Consider the following 21,510-nt stretch of genomic DNA (forward strand, 5'->3'; position numbering starts at 1 on the left):
TTAACATTTTTAAAGTAGGAAGAAGAATAAAGTGGCGGCCATTTTATTTGCAGAATACTTTGACAAAAACAAACCTTGTAGCATTGATATAATATTCTTTAGATTTCCTGATAAAAATCTATATTAGCTAAATTTTCTTTTTCTTTGATAACAGCAAGTTACTGCTGTCACTCGTTTATTTTTTTGAGAAGGAGTCTCGCTGTGTCGCCCAGGCTGGAATGCAGTGACGTGATCTCGGCTCACTGGAACCTCCACCTCCCGGGTTCAAGCGATTCTCCTATCTCAGCCTCCCAAGTAGCTGGGACTTCAGGTGCACTCCATCATGCCTGGCTAATTTTTGTATTTTTAGTAGAGACGGGGTTTCACCATATTGGTCAGGCTGGTCTCAAACTCCTGACCTCAGGTGATTCACCCGTCTCGGCCTCCCAAAGTTCTGGGATTGCAGGCATGAGCCACCGCACCTGGCCTGTTAGTCACTCATAAGTGATTTTAGCATTTAAAGAAATTTATTAATGTAATAGATCTTTGCAAAGGGGCATGGGGAGAGGGAAGTGGGGCACTGAATAGTGCTTGCCTCGGGAAGTCGTTTCCAAATGCTGTCCTCTGTTGTCTGTTTGTAATTTGACTGATATTTGTAGTCTCTCTATCAACTTTTGCAAAGAAGTTTTCTTTCTTAATATTCTGTTGGCACGTTGTTATCCTTTAACACTGCCAATCTGCCGTTTGCTTTCTCAGTATTATTGGTGTTGTCCTTAACATGGAAGGATCTGTAGGTCCTGATGATTGAACCATGGGTATCTTCACAGGGGTCCTGGTACCTGTGTTAATGAAAAACACAAATTGTTATGTTATTTGTTCTCCAGACTTTACTTATTTTCCTCTTCTAATTCTGTTAAAAATCTGTTTCTTGAAAAATATGTTTACAGCATGAAGAAAATTATCCTTTTTCTTTTGCAGCTTATTTGCTTTTAGTTCTGTTCTGGACACTGTGTTACTTAGACCCAAAGAAAAGAACGATGTAGAATATTATAGTGAAACCCAAGAGCTACTGAGGACAGAAATTGTTAATCCTCTGAGAATGTAAGTAGAAAACAAATTGCTATTTTGCCTTTACATGGTGTTCTATTTGCTGTTTTCTGGTATAGTAATTAATTTATACCTTGTCTTCATGTAATAAGAGATGGGTGAAAATTAGTTCTTATGGTAAAATATTACGTTTTTAAACCTTTGGTCCTTGTACTTTTTTGCTTATTTAATTTCTTAAATGTGGCCAAGGTGTAGAACATAGCATATTCCATGAAATGATTTAACCTATTTTGCTAGAGTAAACTATAATTTAGCAATTGCAGTATGTTTAGGAAAGCTAATACATAATACTTAGGATTCTTATCTTTTGAAATAGTTTATTCCAACACTTCTGCTACAAGTAATCATGCTTATTAGTTAAATTGGTGTAGTCTAGCTTCTTAAATCTGAAAGAAAAGGAGAAAGGGAAATTCTTTATAGAATAGCTAGTGTTTAATACTTTGGACTAGCAACAGATGAGATGTATTTTAGTACCATATTTTTTGGTTAAAGGAATATATTTGGCCTCTTTCCACCTGCCTTAAAAAGGTGATTCTTTTTCCATTTCCTACTTTAGGAATTATAAATATGTCTTTTTATGGCCACAGGAAGCAATTTGTAATGGTACAAGCACAAGTGACAGGAGATATCTAGTAAAGACTTTGAATAAGTGGTAGTAGTGATATGTGATAATGTCACATTATAAAATTTAAACTATGAAGAATTAGGACCATAGATCATAAAACAAATTTGTTCATTCAGGAATATAGAGAGAAAGTGATTTATTTAAAGTCCATATTAAGATAAATTTGAATCCTTTTATATACTGTTCTTATTTATCAATTAAAGTAAAAAATAGTTTGATATCAAATTTGAACCAAAAAAGCAGAATACTCAAATACAATGAGGATTCCAAATTATCTGCTATATCACATGACTAGGAAAGTAAATTATAAGAGAATAAATTTCCTCACTTATATCTTTTGCTTTCTTTAAATTCTGTAATGATTTCTCTAATGATCTTACTCTTTAAGATAATTGTGAATCTTGATTTTCACATCAACTATTTTGTCTTATGCAAATTTTTAAACATACGATTTTTTTCCCCCAAGTAATTGATACTGGAACAAGACAGGTCAAACCCGAAACTCTAAGGCATGTTAACACCTCCTTCCTAGAAGAGAGGAAGAATAAACATTCTTTGGATCCTATTGTTCAGCCAGTTAAGAATCATAGTTAATCACACTTTCTTACCCTGTCCACGGTAAGAAACTGGTCAGATGCCCTGTTGTGATCAGGATTCCCTGTGTCTGTAGCATTCATATCTGTATATAGCTGACTGGTTTTATTTGGTGCTGAAATCTCTGCTTTTCTTCAGAGACCCTGTCTTTTTAACCTTACTCATTTTGTATTCCCAGTGGCTGACAGGTTACGTTACTATGTAAGTGGTAGATTCTCAGTCTGTATTGGTTGCAGGAAACTAATGAGTGAATGAATAGTATAAAAAGTGGATATAAAATTAGCTAGTTCTGACTTGTCCTTAGTAAACTTATGGTAGCCGCCAAGTTCTCCTCTGAAGCCATTTTTAGAATTACAAATTTAAAGTGATATTAAACTGATTGAATGTGTCTTGCATTCAGACAAAGAAGAGAGAAAATGTCATCATTATGCCAATTGGTTTGATTGCAGATTTTAGATTTTCAGTTTCTTATAAATTCCCTTTCCCATTTCCCTTGGTGGCTGTTTCACACTTCAGTATTAAAAGGATATTCTCTCTCAAAATTGTATATTCTGCTTTATAAAGTAAATGCTTTAATTTCCCAAGCAAATATTATTTAAAAAATCAGTCACAGCAAACCTAAAAATTTTTTATCTTAGTGTATGACAGTTACTTGTAGAGCATATAATAGTGTCTAGGATAATTCTGGTTCTAGATCTTTAATTTTGCAAACTTCAAGAAGAAGCTTATCATTGTTTTCTTCAAAAATAATTGTCTAACCTATTGATTTATGACATACTGGAGTTGTATAAGAAATGTGTTGGCCAGGTGTGGTGGCGCACACCTGTAATCCCAGCACTTTGGGAGGCCGAGGTGGGCGGATCACTTGAGGCCAGGAGTTCAAGAGCAGCCTGGCCAACATGGTGAAACCCTGTTTCTACTAAAAATACAAAAATTAGCTGGATGTGGTGGTGCACGCCTGTAATTCCAGCTACTTTGGTGGCTGAGGCATGAGAATCTCTTGAGCCTGGAAGGCGGAGGTTGCAGTGAGCTGAGATCGGGCCACTGCACACTCCAGCCTGAGTGATAGAGTGAGACTCTATCTCAAAAAAAAAAAAGAAAAAAAGAAATATGTGATTAAGATGTGTTATATAATTTAATACATGCCAATATCAATTAATAGTTTTTTACTAACTTAGATATGGATATGTGTGTGCCACAAAAATTATGAAACTGAGGAAAATACTTGAAAAGGTGGAGGCTGCATCAGGATTTACCTCTGAAGAAAAAGGTGACCATCTTAACTTATATGCGTTAAAAATAACTGAAGAGCATATTCACATGTCAAAGTATTAGCTGAAATGTGTGTCTGTGTAGTTGGGGGGTTTTCTTTTAAATTAGAAATTTCTTTTTATGTGATATATGGTTAGCTCCTCTTTTTGTAAATTCTTCCTCTCTTCTAAAAGTGATTGATGATGTGGAATAATGAACTCCTTTAAGAAGCTGGCTGGTTCTAGTATATTAAATGCTTAAATAAAAAGTCCTTTCCTTTCCACCTAGCAATGATATTCTCAGTTGTTTCTCTCTTGTGGTGCAGAGTTGCATTGGGTTTTCTACATTTTCCCACTGAGTCTTCCCTGTTGTAAAAGGGAGTTAGAAAGCTGCTAACTAGGATTAAGTTTATAGTCAGGGAACAGTGTTATAATCTCTTCCTAGCTAATGGGCTTACTCAAAGATTCACCACCTGACTTTGAATTTGTCAGCAGCATACTGTAAACAGCTGTAATGTTCAGAGGCTTGCAGGAAAAAACAGAGCATACTTCAGATTGTACTCCATTTACCTTAACCCCTCCAAAGGAAATAACAGCTATTTCATTATGTGCAATGTGTTACACCCTTTCAAATGTAATAAACTCACAACAAAATTGAAACATAATACTTGATTATAACTTATTAAATGTCTTTTATGTTTTTCCTTTGTCAGGAAAACTTGAAAACTGTGCTTTTAATTGAAATAATATTGGATGAATGAAACTGAATTCAGTATTAAAATTTGACTGTTAGAAATGAAAAATAAAATGATTTAAAAATTTTGCCTGTGACTTATTTGATTTTTAAATTTTCTCCTAGATCCTGAGGAATTCTTGAATATTCTGTTTCATCATATTTTAAGGGTAGAACCTTTGCTAAAAATAAGGTAACCTTTAAATTGTTCTAGAAGCATTGGAAAAATAGACAATTCTCATTTCTACTGCCATTATTCAACAGACATGATTTCCAGAATGATTTCTTAATATTGTATTTGTTTAGGGCTCTTAATAGGCTAGGGGAATATCATGCAAGTTAATTTTATTTGTTGTCCTTGCCACAGTACCATAGTTTACTTGAAGATCAAATCCAATGTAAATTTATACTACAATTTTTAACCCTAGCGATAAGTATTATTGCAAATCATTTTCTTTTGAAACTGTATATATATTTTCATAATTTCAATTAATGAACCTTTTAAGAAAAAATATCTCATTCTAACTTAATCAGACACTTCAAGAAGACTGTTTTCTGTCTACTCATCACTCAAAAAATTTAGTCTTAAATTAGCTTTCCTGTTTTTAGTTGTATAACTTTGTCTCCCCTCCCCACCCACCATGTTGAATGAAAGCCTTGTTTAATGTAGTAAAGTTCTTAATGAAATGTTCTAAATGACTGAACGTTCCAGGTAGTTTGAATGTTCTCAGTCTAAACAATGGACCTTTTTACATTTTAGCTTGGGTTTCTCTGTTGAGAATCTTAGTAATATCCTATACACTTCCCTAAAAGCTAAGCATAGACGAGCACTCTTCCTCATCTCTGTGTCTTAAAGTGATATTGTTTGATGCCACTGTTGAACTGATGGGTGAGGAGAATAGAGGGAGGCTGGGTGGTGCCATGGCTGTGGTTTGATATTGTTTGGGAAGTTCTTATGAATGAAATGAGACTGATACATAACCATCAAGAGTTCATATTATCTGTTCAAAGATGATAATAGCCATATGTACACCTAAAAATCCTAGAGAATGGCCTAAAAATTACTACAATTAGCAAAATAATTCATAATTTGTCTATGTAAAATATCCATGGAAAAATCAATAGCATTTCTGTATACCTTCAAGCAAATATGAAAAAGTAATTTAATACTTCATGAAAGTATAAAATACCAAGAAATCAATTTTATTGAGATAGATTTTTTTTAAAAGACTTATACAGAGCTAAAAGGGTTTTGATTAATTAGTGAGAAAGATTACGTTCTGGGTAGGACAATTAAATAATTTAAAGATGATTACATAATAATTTGCACACAAGCAAGATCTTAACATACTTCAGGAAAGTGGATTTAGAGTTCTCTACAAAATGAAGTGGGAAAAAATCTTGAAGAATGCTTTTAAAATAGATTTCTATTATAAGCTACGAAGGCAAAGCAATAGACTTTAAAATAGTGTGTGATACTAGCATATGATTAGAAATATGGATCAATGGGGCCAAATAGAAAGCTCAGAAATAGAATTAACTGTATGTAGAATTTCAGTATCTTATAAGTCAACTTTCAAACAGAAATGGGAAAGGAAAGATATGTTTAATACATGATGTAGGAAACCTAGAAGGCACTTTGGGAGAAAAAAGTCAATTTGGTTTTTCATTTTAAAGAGATAAATTTCAGATGCTTAAAACAGTTGTTTTCATCGTTTTTACCCTTTTTCTAGCCTACACACTTATGGAATGTAATACACGCCCAGTAATAACATAGGTTGAATACTGAGTGATCCTCAGAGTGGGTAGGGAGGGATCAGGGCATCTCTGAATATATCTCAGAGTCTGAATGCCTTGTGGGACTTGAAAGGGCCCTGGGAAGTTCTTACACCCCCTGAAGGGTACACTGTCCCCTTCACCCCTGCAAACAACCTCTTCATATTGAGAATCACTTTTTAAAGATTATAAATATTCTAAGTTGGCTCTTTTTCAAGAGTAATTCTTCCCCTCCACTAGCATTTCATTTTGACAGACAGAGTCAGCAGATGCAACAAATAGGAGGATAAGTACCTTAAAAAAAATCTAAAATAATTAAATAGTCTAAAAGAGACTATAAGATGTTCTTAAATGATTGAAGAGACAAAAGAACTAGATGACAATGAAAGGTAAAACAGATTTGATAAACAGAATCAAATAACCAAAGACAGAATCTCCAGAAATAGAAACCATATCATGATGTTACCTCATTGATGCAGTGTGCACAGCTGAAGAGAGAATTGCTCATTTGGAAGACAGAGCTGAGGAAAGTACCCAGAATGTTGCACAAAGGGATAAAGAGTTAGAAAACAAGAAAGAGAGGATAATAGACATGGAATATGGATTCTAACTGGAGTTCCAGAAGGAGATACTAGAGAGAATAGGGAAAAGGCAATGTTTCAACAGATAATAGCTGAATAAATTTTAGAATTTTTGATAGACTGAAATTCTAAGAATAAAAATATTCAGAATTTCTGAGCAGGAAGAACCAGGACTAAATTACCATTCAGAGACTTACTATAGGATGTACTTCAGTAAAACAAAACTGAGTTTAGAATAAAGGAGTGGGATGCAAGAAACAAGGGAAAGTCAAGAAATTAGTAAATTGTCTTCTCCATCCTCATTTCTGCCTTCTTTCCCTCAGTGTTTGCAATGCAGTGGTCCGTTCAACCACCAGCCCTCCTCCCCTGCTGCCATTATTATGATTACAACTACTTACCTCTACTACTTCCTGGTTTCTTATTTTCCTCTCTTATTTTTTTTTTCCTGTAAACTGTTAATTTTCTATGCTTTTTGGCTTTCACAGAAAAATTCTGGTCTTTTGTCATAGTCATCAACAACTGATTAAAACATTGGTATATCATAGCCTTCAGGTTTTTTGATTATCATCTGTTTGTATTTGTTGTGGGTCTCCAGAATCTCCTGTTTTGTTATCAATTAAATTTTGTTTATTTGGGGATATAAGTTGCTTTGGGAAGCTGAGAATTTTTGCAGGCTGATCTCTGAATAGCTGAGTTTTTTTTTTTTAAGTGAAAACTATGTTAATATTTTCTCCTAAAAATCTTAAAATCTAGATATAAGTTTAGATGTAAATAGTCTAACTTTATATCCAGAAATTCTGCTGAAAAGGTAAATAGTAAACTTAAGGATTATTAGTCCTTCTGGTAGAGTTAAAGACTAATGGCATGCTATAGTAAAATATTTAGGAGGAAAGATGCTCAAAATATAAGAGTAACACTGTGATTGGCATATGGTAGGTGCTTACTTGGTATTTGTTGAATAAATGAGTGACTATCAGACAGCATGCTTTAGCAGAAAGAATGGTAAGCAGTGGTTAGGGCCCCTAGATTCTTTACCCAGCTCTGCTTTTGACTTGCTGAGAAGTCATTCTCCTTCCCTAGATCTCAGCGCCTTCATTTTAGAAATGAAAAGTTCGATCTAGAAGGTCTGCTAAGGGTCTGTCACATCCAGCATATAATAATTTATTTTCAGGCATTAAATACAGTTTGCTGCTTTCTAGATTTGGGCAGTGAAGTTGCACTAAGTGATTTACCTTTTGGTTAGTTCTGTTCACACAGTGCTTCTTGATTGAGATTATTATTCCATTATTTTTTTCCTAATCACTAGGAGAACTTTCCAGTCTAAAAACTAAGCAAAATAAATCATTTATAAGGTCTTGTGCCTGAGCACATTTAATTATTTTATCCAAATCATTTATTTCTCTCTGTTGTTCTGACTATCCAAAGCTACACCATCAATTTTATGGTTTTTCTGTTCTCAAATACTGCTGGGACAACTTAACATTTTGATTTAAGCATTTGATAAATAGGTTGTATGTATTTTTTTCTCTGCGTGTTTTTAGATCAGCAGGTCAAAAGGTACAAGATTGTTACTTCTATCAAATTTTTATGGAAAAAAATGAGAAAGTTGGCGTTCCCACAATTCAGCAGTTGTTAGAATGGTCTTTTATCAACAGTAACCTGAAATTTGCAGAGGTTAGTGATACTCACCTGTGGTATTTTATGTGAAAGTCTGTGGGAGTCTTAAGACTATTGGTAGTTTCAGTATCTATTGATTTTAACTAGCTGAGAAAAGTTTGAAACACAAACTGTTAAGAAACACAAATTTTAAAAAGTATGCAGTGTTTCAACTTTGCCTTTACAGAAAATGTCTTAGAATTAAGATTGAATTTTTTGGATTTCTGCTGCCAAAGAAAACACCAAGCTAATCTGCGTAACTTGAAAACTTTTAGGTAGTTTAAAGCAAAAGGAGACTTACGTTTTTTAAAATGCCATTTTATGCAAGCATATTATCCAAATACATCAAAATATAATGTTTACTTCCCCCCTTCATTAAGAGACAAAATGTCAATAAATTCATTTATATTTGCTAATGAACCAGTGATAGAAATTATTTTTCTTTTATTGTCCAAGAATCTCAGTAATTTTAATAGTATATGCTTGTGGTTTATTTTGATTGTATTCATTTCTGAAGTCATTTTTGGTAAAACCTTAACAGCCACAGTTATTTATTTGTTGAAATATAATGAGTAGTATCCTTCTGTGATGACATTTTCTGTATTATATTTGCAAAAACAATCTGTCCAAAACCTTTAATAAATATAAACCCAAATAAAATGCCATGATTTTATTTGAGACTCAAGATTATTGAACTCTGTGACCTCTAGGTGCTGGTGTGCCCCTGCGATCATGAGCCACTTGAAGACTTGTGGCTTATTGGTGTCCTCTGTCCACAGCCCATGGTCACGTGTGGATCCTGTTTCATAGGACACCAATATTAAGGCAGAACTGTTTTGTTTGACAGCCATGACTATTTTGGTTTCATAGGGAAAAGTGTTTTTTTTAACACTTTGATTCTAAAAATATCTGTCTTTTTTATAGGCACCATCATGTCTGATTATTCAGATGCCTCGATTTGGAAAAGACTTTAAACTATTTAAAAAAATTTTTCCTTCTCTGGAATTAAATATAACAGATTTACTTGAAGACAGTAAGTATGAGATTTTTTTAGTTTGTTTTGTTGGTTTTGTGGAAATTGTCAGATAATTCTCATCAGTTGTGGGTTAGACTCTAACTGGACACAGTATTTCCCAAGGCAATTCAGTATCTGAAGAGCCTGGAAATATGAAACCAGTCATTTTATTTCTAGGAATTTATTCTGAGAAAACACAAATGAAAATAAATATTTGATATGCAAATATACTTATTATTATATGATTAAGAAATTAGAAACAACTTGAATGTTAACCAGAGGAGAATGGTTAAATGAGTGTGTATCTAACAATTAAACTACTGCCATTAAAATTCATGGTTTTGAAGACCAATGTGTATGAAATGGTCATGATGTAATATTAAGTGGAAAGGTAAGTACGTTGATATATTCTACAAAAGGAGCCATATACACACACACACACACACACACACACACACACATGCATATATACCTATGTAAATATTCAGTATGAAATTATTAGAGAAAATTCATAATCATATTGACAGTGGTTATCTTCTGCCAACTAAAATTGTAGATGCTTTTAGTTTTCTCCATTATACTTTCTTGTATCTTTGAATTTTCATCAATGGGTATTTTATAATGAAGGGAAAAATACTCTAGGAGACACTATTTAGAAAAACTATTTGGTCCAAAAAAATGTTTTTAAAGATATTTCAAATACTAACTGAGAGCTTAAGCAGATGGAAGAGAAAGAGACTTTTTTGAAGCCATGAACATTGTCCTTTTTAAAGCCTAACTTTTCTTTACATCTTCTTCATGAAAGAATGCATTTTTTTTAAAGTCCTCTTAACTTCCCTTCCCCTTCTCACATTTCAGCTCCCAGACAGTGCCGGATATGTGGAGGGCTTGCAATGTATGAGTGTAGAGAATGCTACGACGATCCGGACATCTCAGCTGGAAAAATCAAGCAGTTTTGTAAAACCTGCAACACTCAAGTGAGCTTCCCTTCACTTAATGGATAAACTTTTGTTGAACAGTAACTTATTTATAGTTGAAAACACAATGCTCGTTTTGGAAAGTTTTTTAAAATCATAATTAACGGTTAAAAATTCACAATAAAATGGTATTGCTTTTGCCTTTTCTGTTTACTTGAGAGCTGTTGGTGAAGTACTTGATTGCTATAAGGGATGTATTTAGTAAGAGTAAGGAAGCCCATTCACTTGACACATTGAGTTTCTCTCATTAATGACATTTTTTTTTTTTTTTTTTTGAGACTGAGAGACTGAGAGAGACTAATGCCCAGGCTGGAGTGCAGTGGCACGATCTCGGCCCACTGCAACCTCCGCCTCCGGGATTTAAATGATTCTCCTGCCTCAGCCTCCCGAGTAGCTGGGACTGCAGGCGCCTGCCACCACGCCCAGCTAATTTTTGTATTTTTAACAGAGACAGGGTTTCACCATCTTGATCAGGCTGGTCTTGAACTCCTGACCTCGTGATCCACCAGCCTCGGCCTAATGACATTCTTTTCATGGTCCATTTTAGGTCCACCTTCATCCGAAGAGGCTGAATCATAAATATAACCCAGTGTCACTTCCCAAAGACTTACCCGACTGGGACTGGAGACACGGCTGCATCCCTTGCCAGAATATGGAGTTATTTGCTGTTCTCTGCATAGAAACAAGCCACTATGTTGCTTTTGTGAAGTATGGGAAGGACGATTCTGCCTGGCTCTTCTTTGACAGCATGGCCGATCGGGATGGTACTGAAAACGCCTTTCTTCTGCATGTGGCACAGGGTTCTGGTTTGTAGTGGGACAGTTTGTAGTGGGATCGCCTGTTCTGAGTGATATTTTCTGAGAAAATCCTTTCAGGATTATTCTGGTGACAACAGTCTTATATCTTGGATTGCATTAACAACCTTGCTAGCTGAACTAAGGAATAATATGCTGTGTTTTTTTTTTTCCTTTTTTGAGATGGAGTCTCACTCTGTCACCCAGGCTGGAGTGCAGCAGCGTGATCTTGGCTCATTGCAACCTCCACCTCTCAGGTTCAAGCAATCCTCCCACCTCAGCCTCCTGAGTAGCTGGGACTACACGCATATGCCACCATGCCTGGCTAATTTTTGTATTTTTAGTAGAGATGGGCTTCTGCCATGTTGCCCAAGCTGGTCTCAAATTCCTGGCCTCAAGTGATTAACCCTCCTTTTCCTCTCGATGTGCTGGGATTACAAGAGGAGCCAGTGCACCCAGCCTCATATTGTGATATTTTGACATGCATATGCTCTTTTTTTAAAAAAAAGAATCCTAAAATTCTTATTTCAGCCCTGAGGGATCTTATTTCCAGCTTCGCTGTCTTCTTTCAGGCCCCTCTCATTTTTGTAGGAGCCACGGTAGCTGTTTATTGAGCACCATTAAGTCATTCTACCTAAATCCTGGCAAGATGGGGATTATTCCTGTTTTTCTGTTATTAAAGCTGAGGTTTAAGGGGCTTGAGGTATTGTAGTTTGTGTTTAACTCAGTCTTTCTGATCTCAGTGCATATGTTTTTTTGTACTAAACCATGTTATCTTCCAATTGCCAAAAGCTGAGAGCAGAAGTAAACATCCTTTTCAGAAAAGTAAAGCCTCTTCTGCATGTAGTATCTTTCTCCCTGAAGTGGGGAATAGGCTGCAGTTGCCAGGCCACTTTCTAGGATGCTTAATCATTATTTAACTAATGCTTAATGAATGCCAGGCAGGATAGTGGGTTGTAGGTAAGAAATGTTTGTTAAAGCAGCCCTGCCTCTACCTATAAGGAGTTTGCAGGTTAAGACCAGGCCTGGGCAAGGTTGTGAGGTGTGACTCTCATGTTCCTCCATTCTTATACCCTATTTTTCCTTTAGCTGCTCTCTCAGATCCAGCCCCCACGGCCTTCTGGTGTGGCCCTCCAGTAGCCTAAGACATTCCCTGTGGCAGCCTCTTGAACAGAGGCCCAGGCCCTAGATCAAGAGTTCTCCACCTTTTCTCAGTTCTCTGATGCTTGAGGGATACATCCCAGCCCCATCTGTAGATGTGCCCCCAACCCAGTTAACATTTGCACTAAACAGCGTAACACAACAGCATAGGTTTGGAAAAGCCACTGAGGTAACCCAGAGGAGCCTTTCCTGGAATCTCTGAAATCACACCCCAGAGCACCTTCATCAGGGCCTGGTGATGTGTCAAACAAACTGTATTAGAGTTGCGTAAGGATGTGTTTAAAGTGTAGGGAGCTATAATAGCGTTCATTTGACTAGATCTATTCCAAATTGGACAGTCTTATGGTGAAGTGTGCTGGGTGGCTTGTGTCTGGGAGGAAATGAAATGTGAGGAACAGAGTGTCGTCTACATATGTATTGATAATATGATTCAGAGAGAAGTCTGGAAAGTAGGTTGGGGGCTTACCTCAGAATTCGTGTCCTTTTACCAGGTTTATTCACTGTTGGCCCCAGAATCCTTTCAGAAACCAAGAAATGAGAATATGTCAAGGGTTAAAGGAGGCTTTCACTTCCAGAAATCAGAAGTAAAATAAAGGCTTTTAGAGCCTGAAATTAGCTTTTTGGAAATGATAGGATTATAAAATCACTGGCAAAAGGGTTTAGAACTTGACTGCCCTATAAAGAGTTCTTCCTCTGTGCCATAGGTGGTCAGAATGGCTTCAACATTCCTCAAGTCACCCCATGCCCAGAAGTAGGAGAGTACTTGAAGATGTCTCTGGAAGACCTGCATTCCTTGGACTCCAGGAGAATCCAAGGCTGTGCACGAAGACTGCTTTGTGATGCATATATGTGCATGTACCAGAGTCCAACAATGAGTTTGTACAAATAACTGGGGTCATCGGGAAAGGCAAAGAAACTGAAGGCAGAGTCCTAACGTTGCATCTTATTCGAGCTGGCAGTTCTGTTCACGTCCATTGCCGGCAATGGATGTCTTTGTGGTGATGATCCTTCAGAAAAGGATGCCTCTGTTTAAAAACAAATTGCTTTTGTGTCCCTGAAGTATTTAATAAGAAGCATTTTGCACTCTAGAAAGTATGTTTGTGTTGGTTTTTTAAGAAGTCTAAATGAAGTTATTAATACCTGAAGCTTTAAGTTAAGTGCATTGATCATATGATATTTTTGGAAGCATACAATTTTAATTGTGGAAGTTTAAAGCCTCTTTTAGTCCATTGAGAATGTAAATAAATGTGTCTTCTTTATGGACCAAGGATATGAAATCATTTTTCTTTTGTAGCTAACGGTTGCCTTGAGGAAGAAATAATTTGGTTTTATTAAGAGTCTACTCTCAATCCAGTTATTAGAGATGTACTGAGTTTGATTTGTTAATCCTTTCTATATACTGCTGATCTTGCATGTCTACAATCTGCTCAGTTTTTCTGTGTTTCTGCAATAGTGGTCAGAAAAATACTTAAATTCCCTTAATGGTGTTGTTTTCTATTTGTTCTGGTTTTGAGATAAATGAGTGATTCTGTCCCCAAATGTCCATTTTTGAAGTGATTTTCCTGGAGGATTAGGGTATTTAGCAGTTGAAGCTCTTCATTCATAGTAGTTACTGTCAGCTAACAGGTTTTTTAAGGCTTTTAACTATTAATATTTTATGGAATGGGGCAAAGTAAATTGATGAAAGAATTGGAGTGATAATAGTCCTTTACAAACATACAGTCCATAAGAAAATGAATTTGGCATATAGAATTATTACAATTTCCTGGGAGAGATGGATATTTAAACCTCTATTATTTTAGACAAGACTGTCTAGAACTTAAGTTTGATCTGTCAGCCAGTACTCCCATTAAATTCAGTGTAGTTTCACTTGATAGAATCAGATATGTTATCGAAATGTTAGCAGCAGCTTCATCCTCCTTCTGATTAAAGTAAGTAGAAATGGGATGTTTTGTTTAATAACAGCCATAGTGTGTGTTTAGACCACAGCGGATGTTGTAGACCAGGACCATAGATGATACATGTCAGTGCTGTGGAATGTGCATTCTCTGAGTGTTGTTTTGTGGTATCATTGTCTTTCCTGAATGACTTTCTAACTGTGCAGAAAGGCAGAAAAGTCATCATATGTATATGTCATATGACTTTATAAAATATTTAATGTGACAAAAAGTGGAAAGAATCTTTACAAACCCTGCAATTACTTTTTTAAAGGCACTTTTACTCTTTGGTTTTATCATTCCATTTTGCTAATATTTACTAGCTTTATAAATTACAGTAAGGTACAAAAACTCATCTTGTAATATTTTCATTTTTGAAGTGAAAAAGTACATATATTTTGCACAAGGTTTTATACTGCTAAGTGCTTGGTTGGGGTGGTGAGATGATGATTAGATCAGGGGTGAGGCTGAGAGACTCTGGGTTTAGGGCTAGCCCTGCCTCCATCTCCCTTGGGTAAAATGAAGGGTGTGGGGTAAAAGATGCATAAGGCCTTTTCTAGCTCTGACAGCCTAGAAGTCCAATCACCCTGTAATAAATATGTGTTGAATGAAGAAATGGGTGAATGAGCTTGTCAATGTGATTTTAAAAAATTGACTACCTGGAGGAATGATTAGGAATCTAAATGAAGCCAGCCCTCGGTATCTGCAGGTTTCTCATCCATGGATTCAACCAACTGCAAATGGAAAATACGATTTTTTTTAAAAAAAGGATGGTTACATCCGTATTGAACATGTACAGACTTTTTTCTTGTCATTATTCTCTGAACAATACAAGAACTCTTTATGTAGCATTTACATTTATTAGGTATTATAAGTAATCTAGAGATTATTTAATTAAAATATACAGGAGGATGTGTGTCAGTTATATGCAAATTCTGTACCATTTTGTATCAGGGAATTGAGCATCTTCAGATGTTGGTATCTGCAGGGATCCTGGAACCAAACCCCTGCAGATACTAAGGGCTGACGATCTAGGTAAGACTGGATTTAACAGTTGGAAAAAAAAAAAAAAAAGGAGAGAGAAGACAGTTCCTTTCCTGTAGAAATTAAAACAAAATACAAATTGAGGAAGCTCTGCTACCCAGGCTGTCATGGTAGAGAACTTGAAGAAGACCTGTTTGGATGGACACCTGGTTTCAAAAGTCAGGTGTGGAGACTGTTAAATGGGAGGGCCTCATCCATAAATGATTTCTGGCAACGTCTTCTTCAGGTGGAGCTTGACGTCTTTTTAATGTTACTTGGGGAGGGAGTGCTCATTAAGGGATGCCAGGGCCAGCTCTGGTGGTTCCTGGGGAGGCTGCGTCCTTCCCTGCTTCTGCATGTCATGAGGCAGCAGGAAGGTTTCCCCTGCACCTGTCTGTCCTGGCTCCCTCTGGGTAGCCCCCTACTGTTCTGTGCTTCAGCACAGCCTGGTTTGTCAAGAGGCACATAGTTGGGGCTGGGCTGCATGGCACAGGGGCTTATGTGCCTGCTGGTTATTTAATTTTCAGCCTTAAGTTTTCTTTAATATTTTCCTGTTGGCTATTTAAAGGTTTTGGTTATCTTTTATTCCTTATCTACAATCAAGATGACAATGTAATTGAATTATCTTATTTATAACACGGTTCGTGATTCATGATTCATGATTACAAGTAGAAAATATGTCATGTTCCTCACCTCCAAATAAATATGTGTGTGTCTGTGTGTGTGTATATATGTATGTGGCGGAGAGGGAGAGAGTGGGGAAGGAGAGCAGTGTTATCATACATAGAGAGGCTAAATGTGTCCCATCCCTCACTGTCAGCTTTATAAAGGAGTTTGACTCCATCCACAGAAGAATGTTTTATAAGACTAGGAAAACACGTTGAAAACTAGGATAAACAGCAACAAAAATCAACTAAATATGTTGTTACTGTTGCTAAGGATTTTCTCCTTAGAATAATTTAGGATTTTTAAAAATTTCTGTTTGCCAAATGCTGTAGATAAATGGCCAGATTCTTCCTATCCCTAGGATTCCTTTATTATTTTTTTTCACAGATTTTGAGAACAAGGGGGAGAGATAGTATGGAAGATTAAGATTCCATTAATCTTATAGAACTGTGTTGTCACCCAAATTCCTGCTTGTTTGAACATGGCATCTTCATAGATTCAGGATTCACTACCCTCTATAGCTGGATCTTGAAAATTATCTGGCCAGATAATTTTGCATCTGCTTGGATGATTGTAGACTGAGATGTGAGTGGAGGATAAAGTATTAGACTTTTGCTGAGTAACTGCCAACCAAGAAGTATTTATCGGACACTTACTAGGTGCCTAGGATTGTATCAGAGGGAATATGAAATGTGTCCCTGCCCTACCTAGTTTTAACGACAGAATATCTATTAAAGGCTACTTAGCTGAAGGGTAAGGGTGACAGGTCTAGGGGAAGCTTTGGGAGGTGGTGTGCTGTGACAGAAAAAGTGGCAGAGTAGGGACGAGAGACCTGCATTCTAGCCCTGTTTCTGTCACTTGCTCTGTACACTTAGACAACAGCTTGACCTCTTGAGCTTTAGTTTCCTCCTCTGCATAATGAGAGGGTTAGACTACTGAATTGTATGGGAAAAAAATACAAATTCCTGGGTCCTAGGCCATGCCTGCTGAATCCGACTGTTCAGGAAGAGGCCTAGGAAATCTGTGAGGGAATCCCCAGGGGAATCTCGTGACCAGCCAGGTGTGAAATCTGCTAACTGGAAGATCTCAAAGCTTCCTTCACTTTTTGTGATTTTGTGGTCATGTAACGTTACTGTATTATTCTACGTAAATGTGGGTACTTGGATGTTTATCATACTGTTTCTCTGTGTTTACATACTAATTTGTGTAAGAAATGCATTTTAGTCTGTGTACCTCAACCTGCTGTTTGTTTCCTAGAGGTGTTAGTAGTCTTTAAATACAAGTAAGACTTAAGAGGATATTTGATGTTATTTACCTGGATATTTTCTTCCCCTTTTATTTATTTAGAGGAAATTGAGATTCTAGGAGCCAAAAAAATGAAAACAAAATTCTAAGGCAAAGTTAAAGAAAAAAATTACATTATTTCTTACCATTTGCTACTTTATAATGAAAATTTAAAAATTATATGGGAAGATTTTTCTCTGGGATAACAAATCCTTGTCATAAAGTAAGAGGTCTTTTTAAAGTAGGTAGGCTATAAGGCCTGTAATTTAAAATAATACTCCTTTCTCTAGGGTTTGGTGCAATTCTCCATTAATGAAGATAACATTTGAATTCCCCAAAGCAGGTGAGGAGTCGGGGAGGAGAAAGCGATGTTAAAATGAAAACTCACTGCAAAAGAGGAGGCAGAGGAAGAAGGAATGTAAACCCCTTAAAGCAGATGTGTGTGGGGCCTTATGAAGACCAGGATTCTGCGGGTGTCAGGGGATTGCCCCTCTTGACAGAGACTAGGGTTTTAGACTGAGGCTTCCTGCAGGGTGTTCGCATTGCCCTTCTCCGTTCCCCTTCAGACCTTTCTGGGGAGAAGAGGTGGGAGGAGGGGAGAAAGACTGTTCATCTTATTCTGAATCCTGGAGCAGCTGAAGGTTTTCTCTTGAGTCAGGATGCAGTGGTAATGCATTAACCAGCAAGTGTGGCCAAGGATAATGAAAAAGTGGGAAAGGAAGGTCCTCCTCCTCCCTGATTGTAGCATCCAGCAGTCTCTGTAGCCAGGTTACTCAAGAACCACATTTGATTTCCTGGCCCTTTGCCTTGGCAGTGATGGCATTTTTATTTCACTGTGTTTTAAAGTCTTCATTTATTTTTATAACATGGGTTAGGGAGAAGGGCCACAAATGGAGGGATTGTCCTTTCAAGCACCACAGCTTCAGATAAAATTAGTACTTTCAAATATTGTCCACTTTAACTTAAAAAATTCTAGAGGGATTATATTGGAGACTCAACTGCCCTTGGTTTTAGTTTATAAAATGGCCTAGTACTGTGGAATTTTAATTTTAGAAAGTCTTAGCATCAGATCATAAACATTCATTAAAAGAACTCACATCCCATCTGAAACTTCCCAGGGGAGTTGGGATTCTTAGTAGATTGGTAGAAAGGGGCTCATTTTCTACTGCATTTCCCATTTTTGGTATCTTGTTCAGCATGTTTTATTTTTATTTCTTGTCTGCAGAACATCCTATATTTATGAGAACATTCTTTAAGAAGACCACCACATAGAATACCCCTTCCTATCAGCTCGCTCTGATTTAGCCTTAATTTTGTTAAATTTTTTAGAGATGAATGAAGTGCTGCTGTGGAAAGAAATGTACATATACTATTTCTGTATCATTAAAATTACATTTTTATGGTTCCTTTTCCTGGATTTCTTTGAGGGAAGGGTTTTGGGTTATGAGAAGGCTGGAATTGGGTCTCTACAACACTTTAAGTTTTTGCTGTGGTAAGATTTCTTTGAGGAAATGCTATACCTGGGCACACCTCTGTGTCTTGATCAAGCCTCTACCACCATTACAATTGCTTTAGAAAACCTCACACACTTACCCTGTTCTGGGAGATGTGCCAGCGGCATTATGATGCTGTGTGGCTTCTTGATCTAGCCAAGTAATTCTGACCTCTGATGCTTGTTAAAGCTCAGCTGCTCCAGCCTCCAAGCCACTCCAGCCAGAAGTTGTCCCCCGCTGCTTCATTCCATCATCTATAAACATGAACCCAACACTGTTGCCTAAGGAGTAGTGTGTCCCATTCTTTTTTCTTTTTTTTGAGATGGAGTCTCGCTCTGTCGCCCCAGTTGGAGTGCAGTGGTGTGATGTCGGCTCGCTGCAATCTCTGTCTTTCAGGTTCCAGCGATTCTCCTGCCTCAGCCTCCCAAGTAGCTGGAATTACAGGCGTGCACCACCATGCCTGGCTAATTTTTTTGTGTTTTTAGTAGAGACAGGGTTTCACCATGTTGACCAGGCTGGTCTCAAACTCCTGACCTCAAGTGATCTGCCTGCCTGGGCCTCCCAAAGTGCTGGGATTATAGGCGTGAGCCACCACACCTGGCCAGTAGTGTGTCCCATTCTACCACAGCTTCCACAGAGGCAGTTAAATATTTTACTTTTTTGTGATAACCAGAGGAATGGTCGCACGATGTACTGTGTATTGAAATTCCTACTTTAGTCTTCTTTTAGGTAACAGATCAACCTTCCTTGGAAATTATTTGGAGTTTAAGTCACTTAATGTGCCATGATAGGAAAGCTAGAATGGTCTGAGTTGGTAATACTGGTATTGACAATACATTGAAGAACATTTCTGTTTCAGAACCCCATGGGTGGATATGCGTGCTTATATCCAAACAATGCTGTTCTGACATCACTGATCTTCCTTGTCAGATTCAAGGGTTGGCACACTTTTTCATAGTCGCCACTCCTTGTGACTCTGTTTGGGTCTGTTACCGTGACGGCGACAGTACATACCTTGTGCCCATCTGCGGATCTGGACAGTTGTGAAAACAAGTCCTTGTCAGAAGAAAGCTGGCCTGGCCGAAGGAGGAGCCACTGGCCCTCCCCTAAGCCCCTTTTTCTGACTTGCTGAGGCATGTTCTTCCTCATTATCACCTCATTATCAAACTTCGAGCAGCAGTTCTCCATTCAATCCTGGTTGCATGTTGAATTCACACAGGGAGATTTTAAAGACGCCAGTGCCTGTGCACACCCCAGACCTATTGGAATCTCTGAAGATGGGGCCAGACAGTGGGTCCTTGTCAAAGCTCCTTATGCATTTCTGTTTCAGAACCCCATGGGTGGATATGCATGCTGATATCCAAACAATGCTGTTATGACATCACTGATCTTCCTTGTCAGATTCAAGGGTTGGCACACTTTTTCATAGTCCCCACTCCTTGTGACTGTGCAACCAGGATTGGGAACCAGTTGTCAGGAGGAATGGAGTTTTCTGAGGGAGACAGAATCAACTTGGCATTCCCTGGTGGAACATTCTGCCCTGCAGAAAGAGAATGTGGACATGAACGAGCTCCTAAGGGAAAGTAGAAAATTTATTGTAAAGCTACCAGCCCAGTCCCTTGAGGAAGAACTCAGGGAATATATGGGGAATGTGTTCCAGAGGCAGGAGAGAGAATTTAGAAGTAGGATGAAAATTACACTATTTGTGAAGAGGACTTAAAAGATGTCCTTAAATGGGCATGATGATGACGCTAATCTCTTTGTTTAGGAAATATTTCAGAGATAAGCCTCAGATGTATAAAAAGAAAGGAGAGAGCTCACCAAGTTGATTAGGGAAGAAAGAAGGCAGGAGAAATCTTGGGGAGGGACTGTTTTGGGGCAAGCTTTCAAGCCTGTCTTTGCACTGAACTGTGGGCAGTCAGGTCTCTGTGGGCTGCCAGCTTCAGTAGACTGCTTGGAGTGTGGATTTATTGGAGAGGAGGTAGATTCTGAGGTCTAATGAGAGTAATTAGGGGAGTGAAGACTGAAATGGATATTATAAGAATAGTGTAATTCTCCCAGCAGACTGACCCTTATTACAAAAGCGCGACTGAAATTTGCAAGTTGCGTCCACTCTTTTGACTGTACCACTTTACTAGGAGTTAATGAAAACCTTTAAATTCCGTGTATGAAATCACCTTACAACTAACACACAAATCTGTTTAAACACCTAATATGGCCTTTTCCAAACTAAGTAGTTTGAAGTTACACTGGGGTTTGAAGAGTTGGTGAGGAAGTTGACTGTACCACGGATGCCTCCCTGAGTCCCTCTCCTCCAGTCCTCCCCAACTTTAGCAGACTTTGGAAGCGACCCCTCAGGCCTTGCCTTGCAGGTTCTATTTGGTGGCAGGCAAGACTCAGCAGCCTGTAGTAAATGCAGTCAGGCCTCAGGCCATGATGAGTGGCTTCTTCGCTGTGCCTTCTTATTGGCTCCAGGGAGGCGAGGCTGCTCCTGGGTTAGTGCGTGGTGGGGTGATGACACTGGAATATACTGTGTTTTAAACAAATGTGCGTTTTGTTGGGTCCGGCCATCTCTGTAAACTTCAGACTGTTTTGTTCCGATGTATTTCTGAACTGTGCCCTGTAGGTCGCCCATTGGGGGTGGGATGGGCCTCTGCAGGTTGGAAGGACTAAGTGTGGTTTCAGGTTTCTGTTCAGAGGTCACCTCCCTGAAGAGGCCTTCACAGACCACATTAGCCAGGGGTGTGCTGGAATGTTTAACAACCAGCTCTTGGGGGCTGAGGGGCAACCCTGTTTGTAGCCTCTGCTGATTTGGTGGTATAAATACCCCCACCACGGCCAATTGCAAGCTACCAAAAT

General features: G+C 37.8%; 1 protein-coding gene and 1 long non-coding RNA gene across 26 annotated transcripts in view; one reads left to right on the forward strand and one right to left on the reverse strand.

Annotated features, from left to right (window-relative positions):
• CYLD (CYLD lysine 63 deubiquitinase) overlaps nucleotides 1-18,564 on the forward strand; it is a 59,850-nt gene extending 41,286 nt beyond the window's left edge. For 23 of the 25 annotated variants that reach the window (NR_166071.1, XM_047433656.1, NM_015247.3 and 20 more), the window contains 8 exons: nucleotides 958-1,080; nucleotides 3,484-3,575; nucleotides 4,415-4,481; nucleotides 8,187-8,319; nucleotides 9,226-9,334; nucleotides 10,175-10,293; nucleotides 10,841-11,057; nucleotides 12,953-18,564. Coding sequence is in view for 23 of the 25 variants with exons in the window: in XM_047433656.1 (XP_047289612.1) it covers nucleotides 958-1,080; nucleotides 3,484-3,575; nucleotides 4,415-4,481; nucleotides 8,187-8,319; nucleotides 9,226-9,334; nucleotides 10,175-10,293; nucleotides 10,841-11,057; nucleotides 12,953-13,137 (1,045 nt within the window). In the remaining 2 variants the exon portion in view is untranslated. Of the gene's footprint in view, nucleotides 1-957; nucleotides 1,081-3,467; nucleotides 3,576-4,414; nucleotides 4,482-8,186; nucleotides 8,320-9,225; nucleotides 9,335-10,174; nucleotides 10,294-10,840; nucleotides 11,058-12,952 lie in introns of those variants that run through there. The other 2 variants (XR_007064858.1, XM_047433663.1) reach the window with 2 other exon arrangements.
• Nucleotides 488-19,974, reverse strand: CYLD-AS2 (CYLD antisense RNA 2). The gene is made up of 3 exons (NR_187251.1): nucleotides 19,666-19,974; nucleotides 18,752-18,905; nucleotides 488-818 (listed from the first exon to the last, which is right to left on the reverse strand). It is a non-coding gene; the product is annotated as a CYLD antisense RNA 2 (long non-coding RNA).

Source organism: Homo sapiens, chromosome 16 (assembly GCF_000001405.40).
Source record: "Homo sapiens chromosome 16, GRCh38.p14 Primary Assembly".
NCBI lineage: Eukaryota > Metazoa > Chordata > Mammalia > Primates > Hominidae > Homo > Homo sapiens.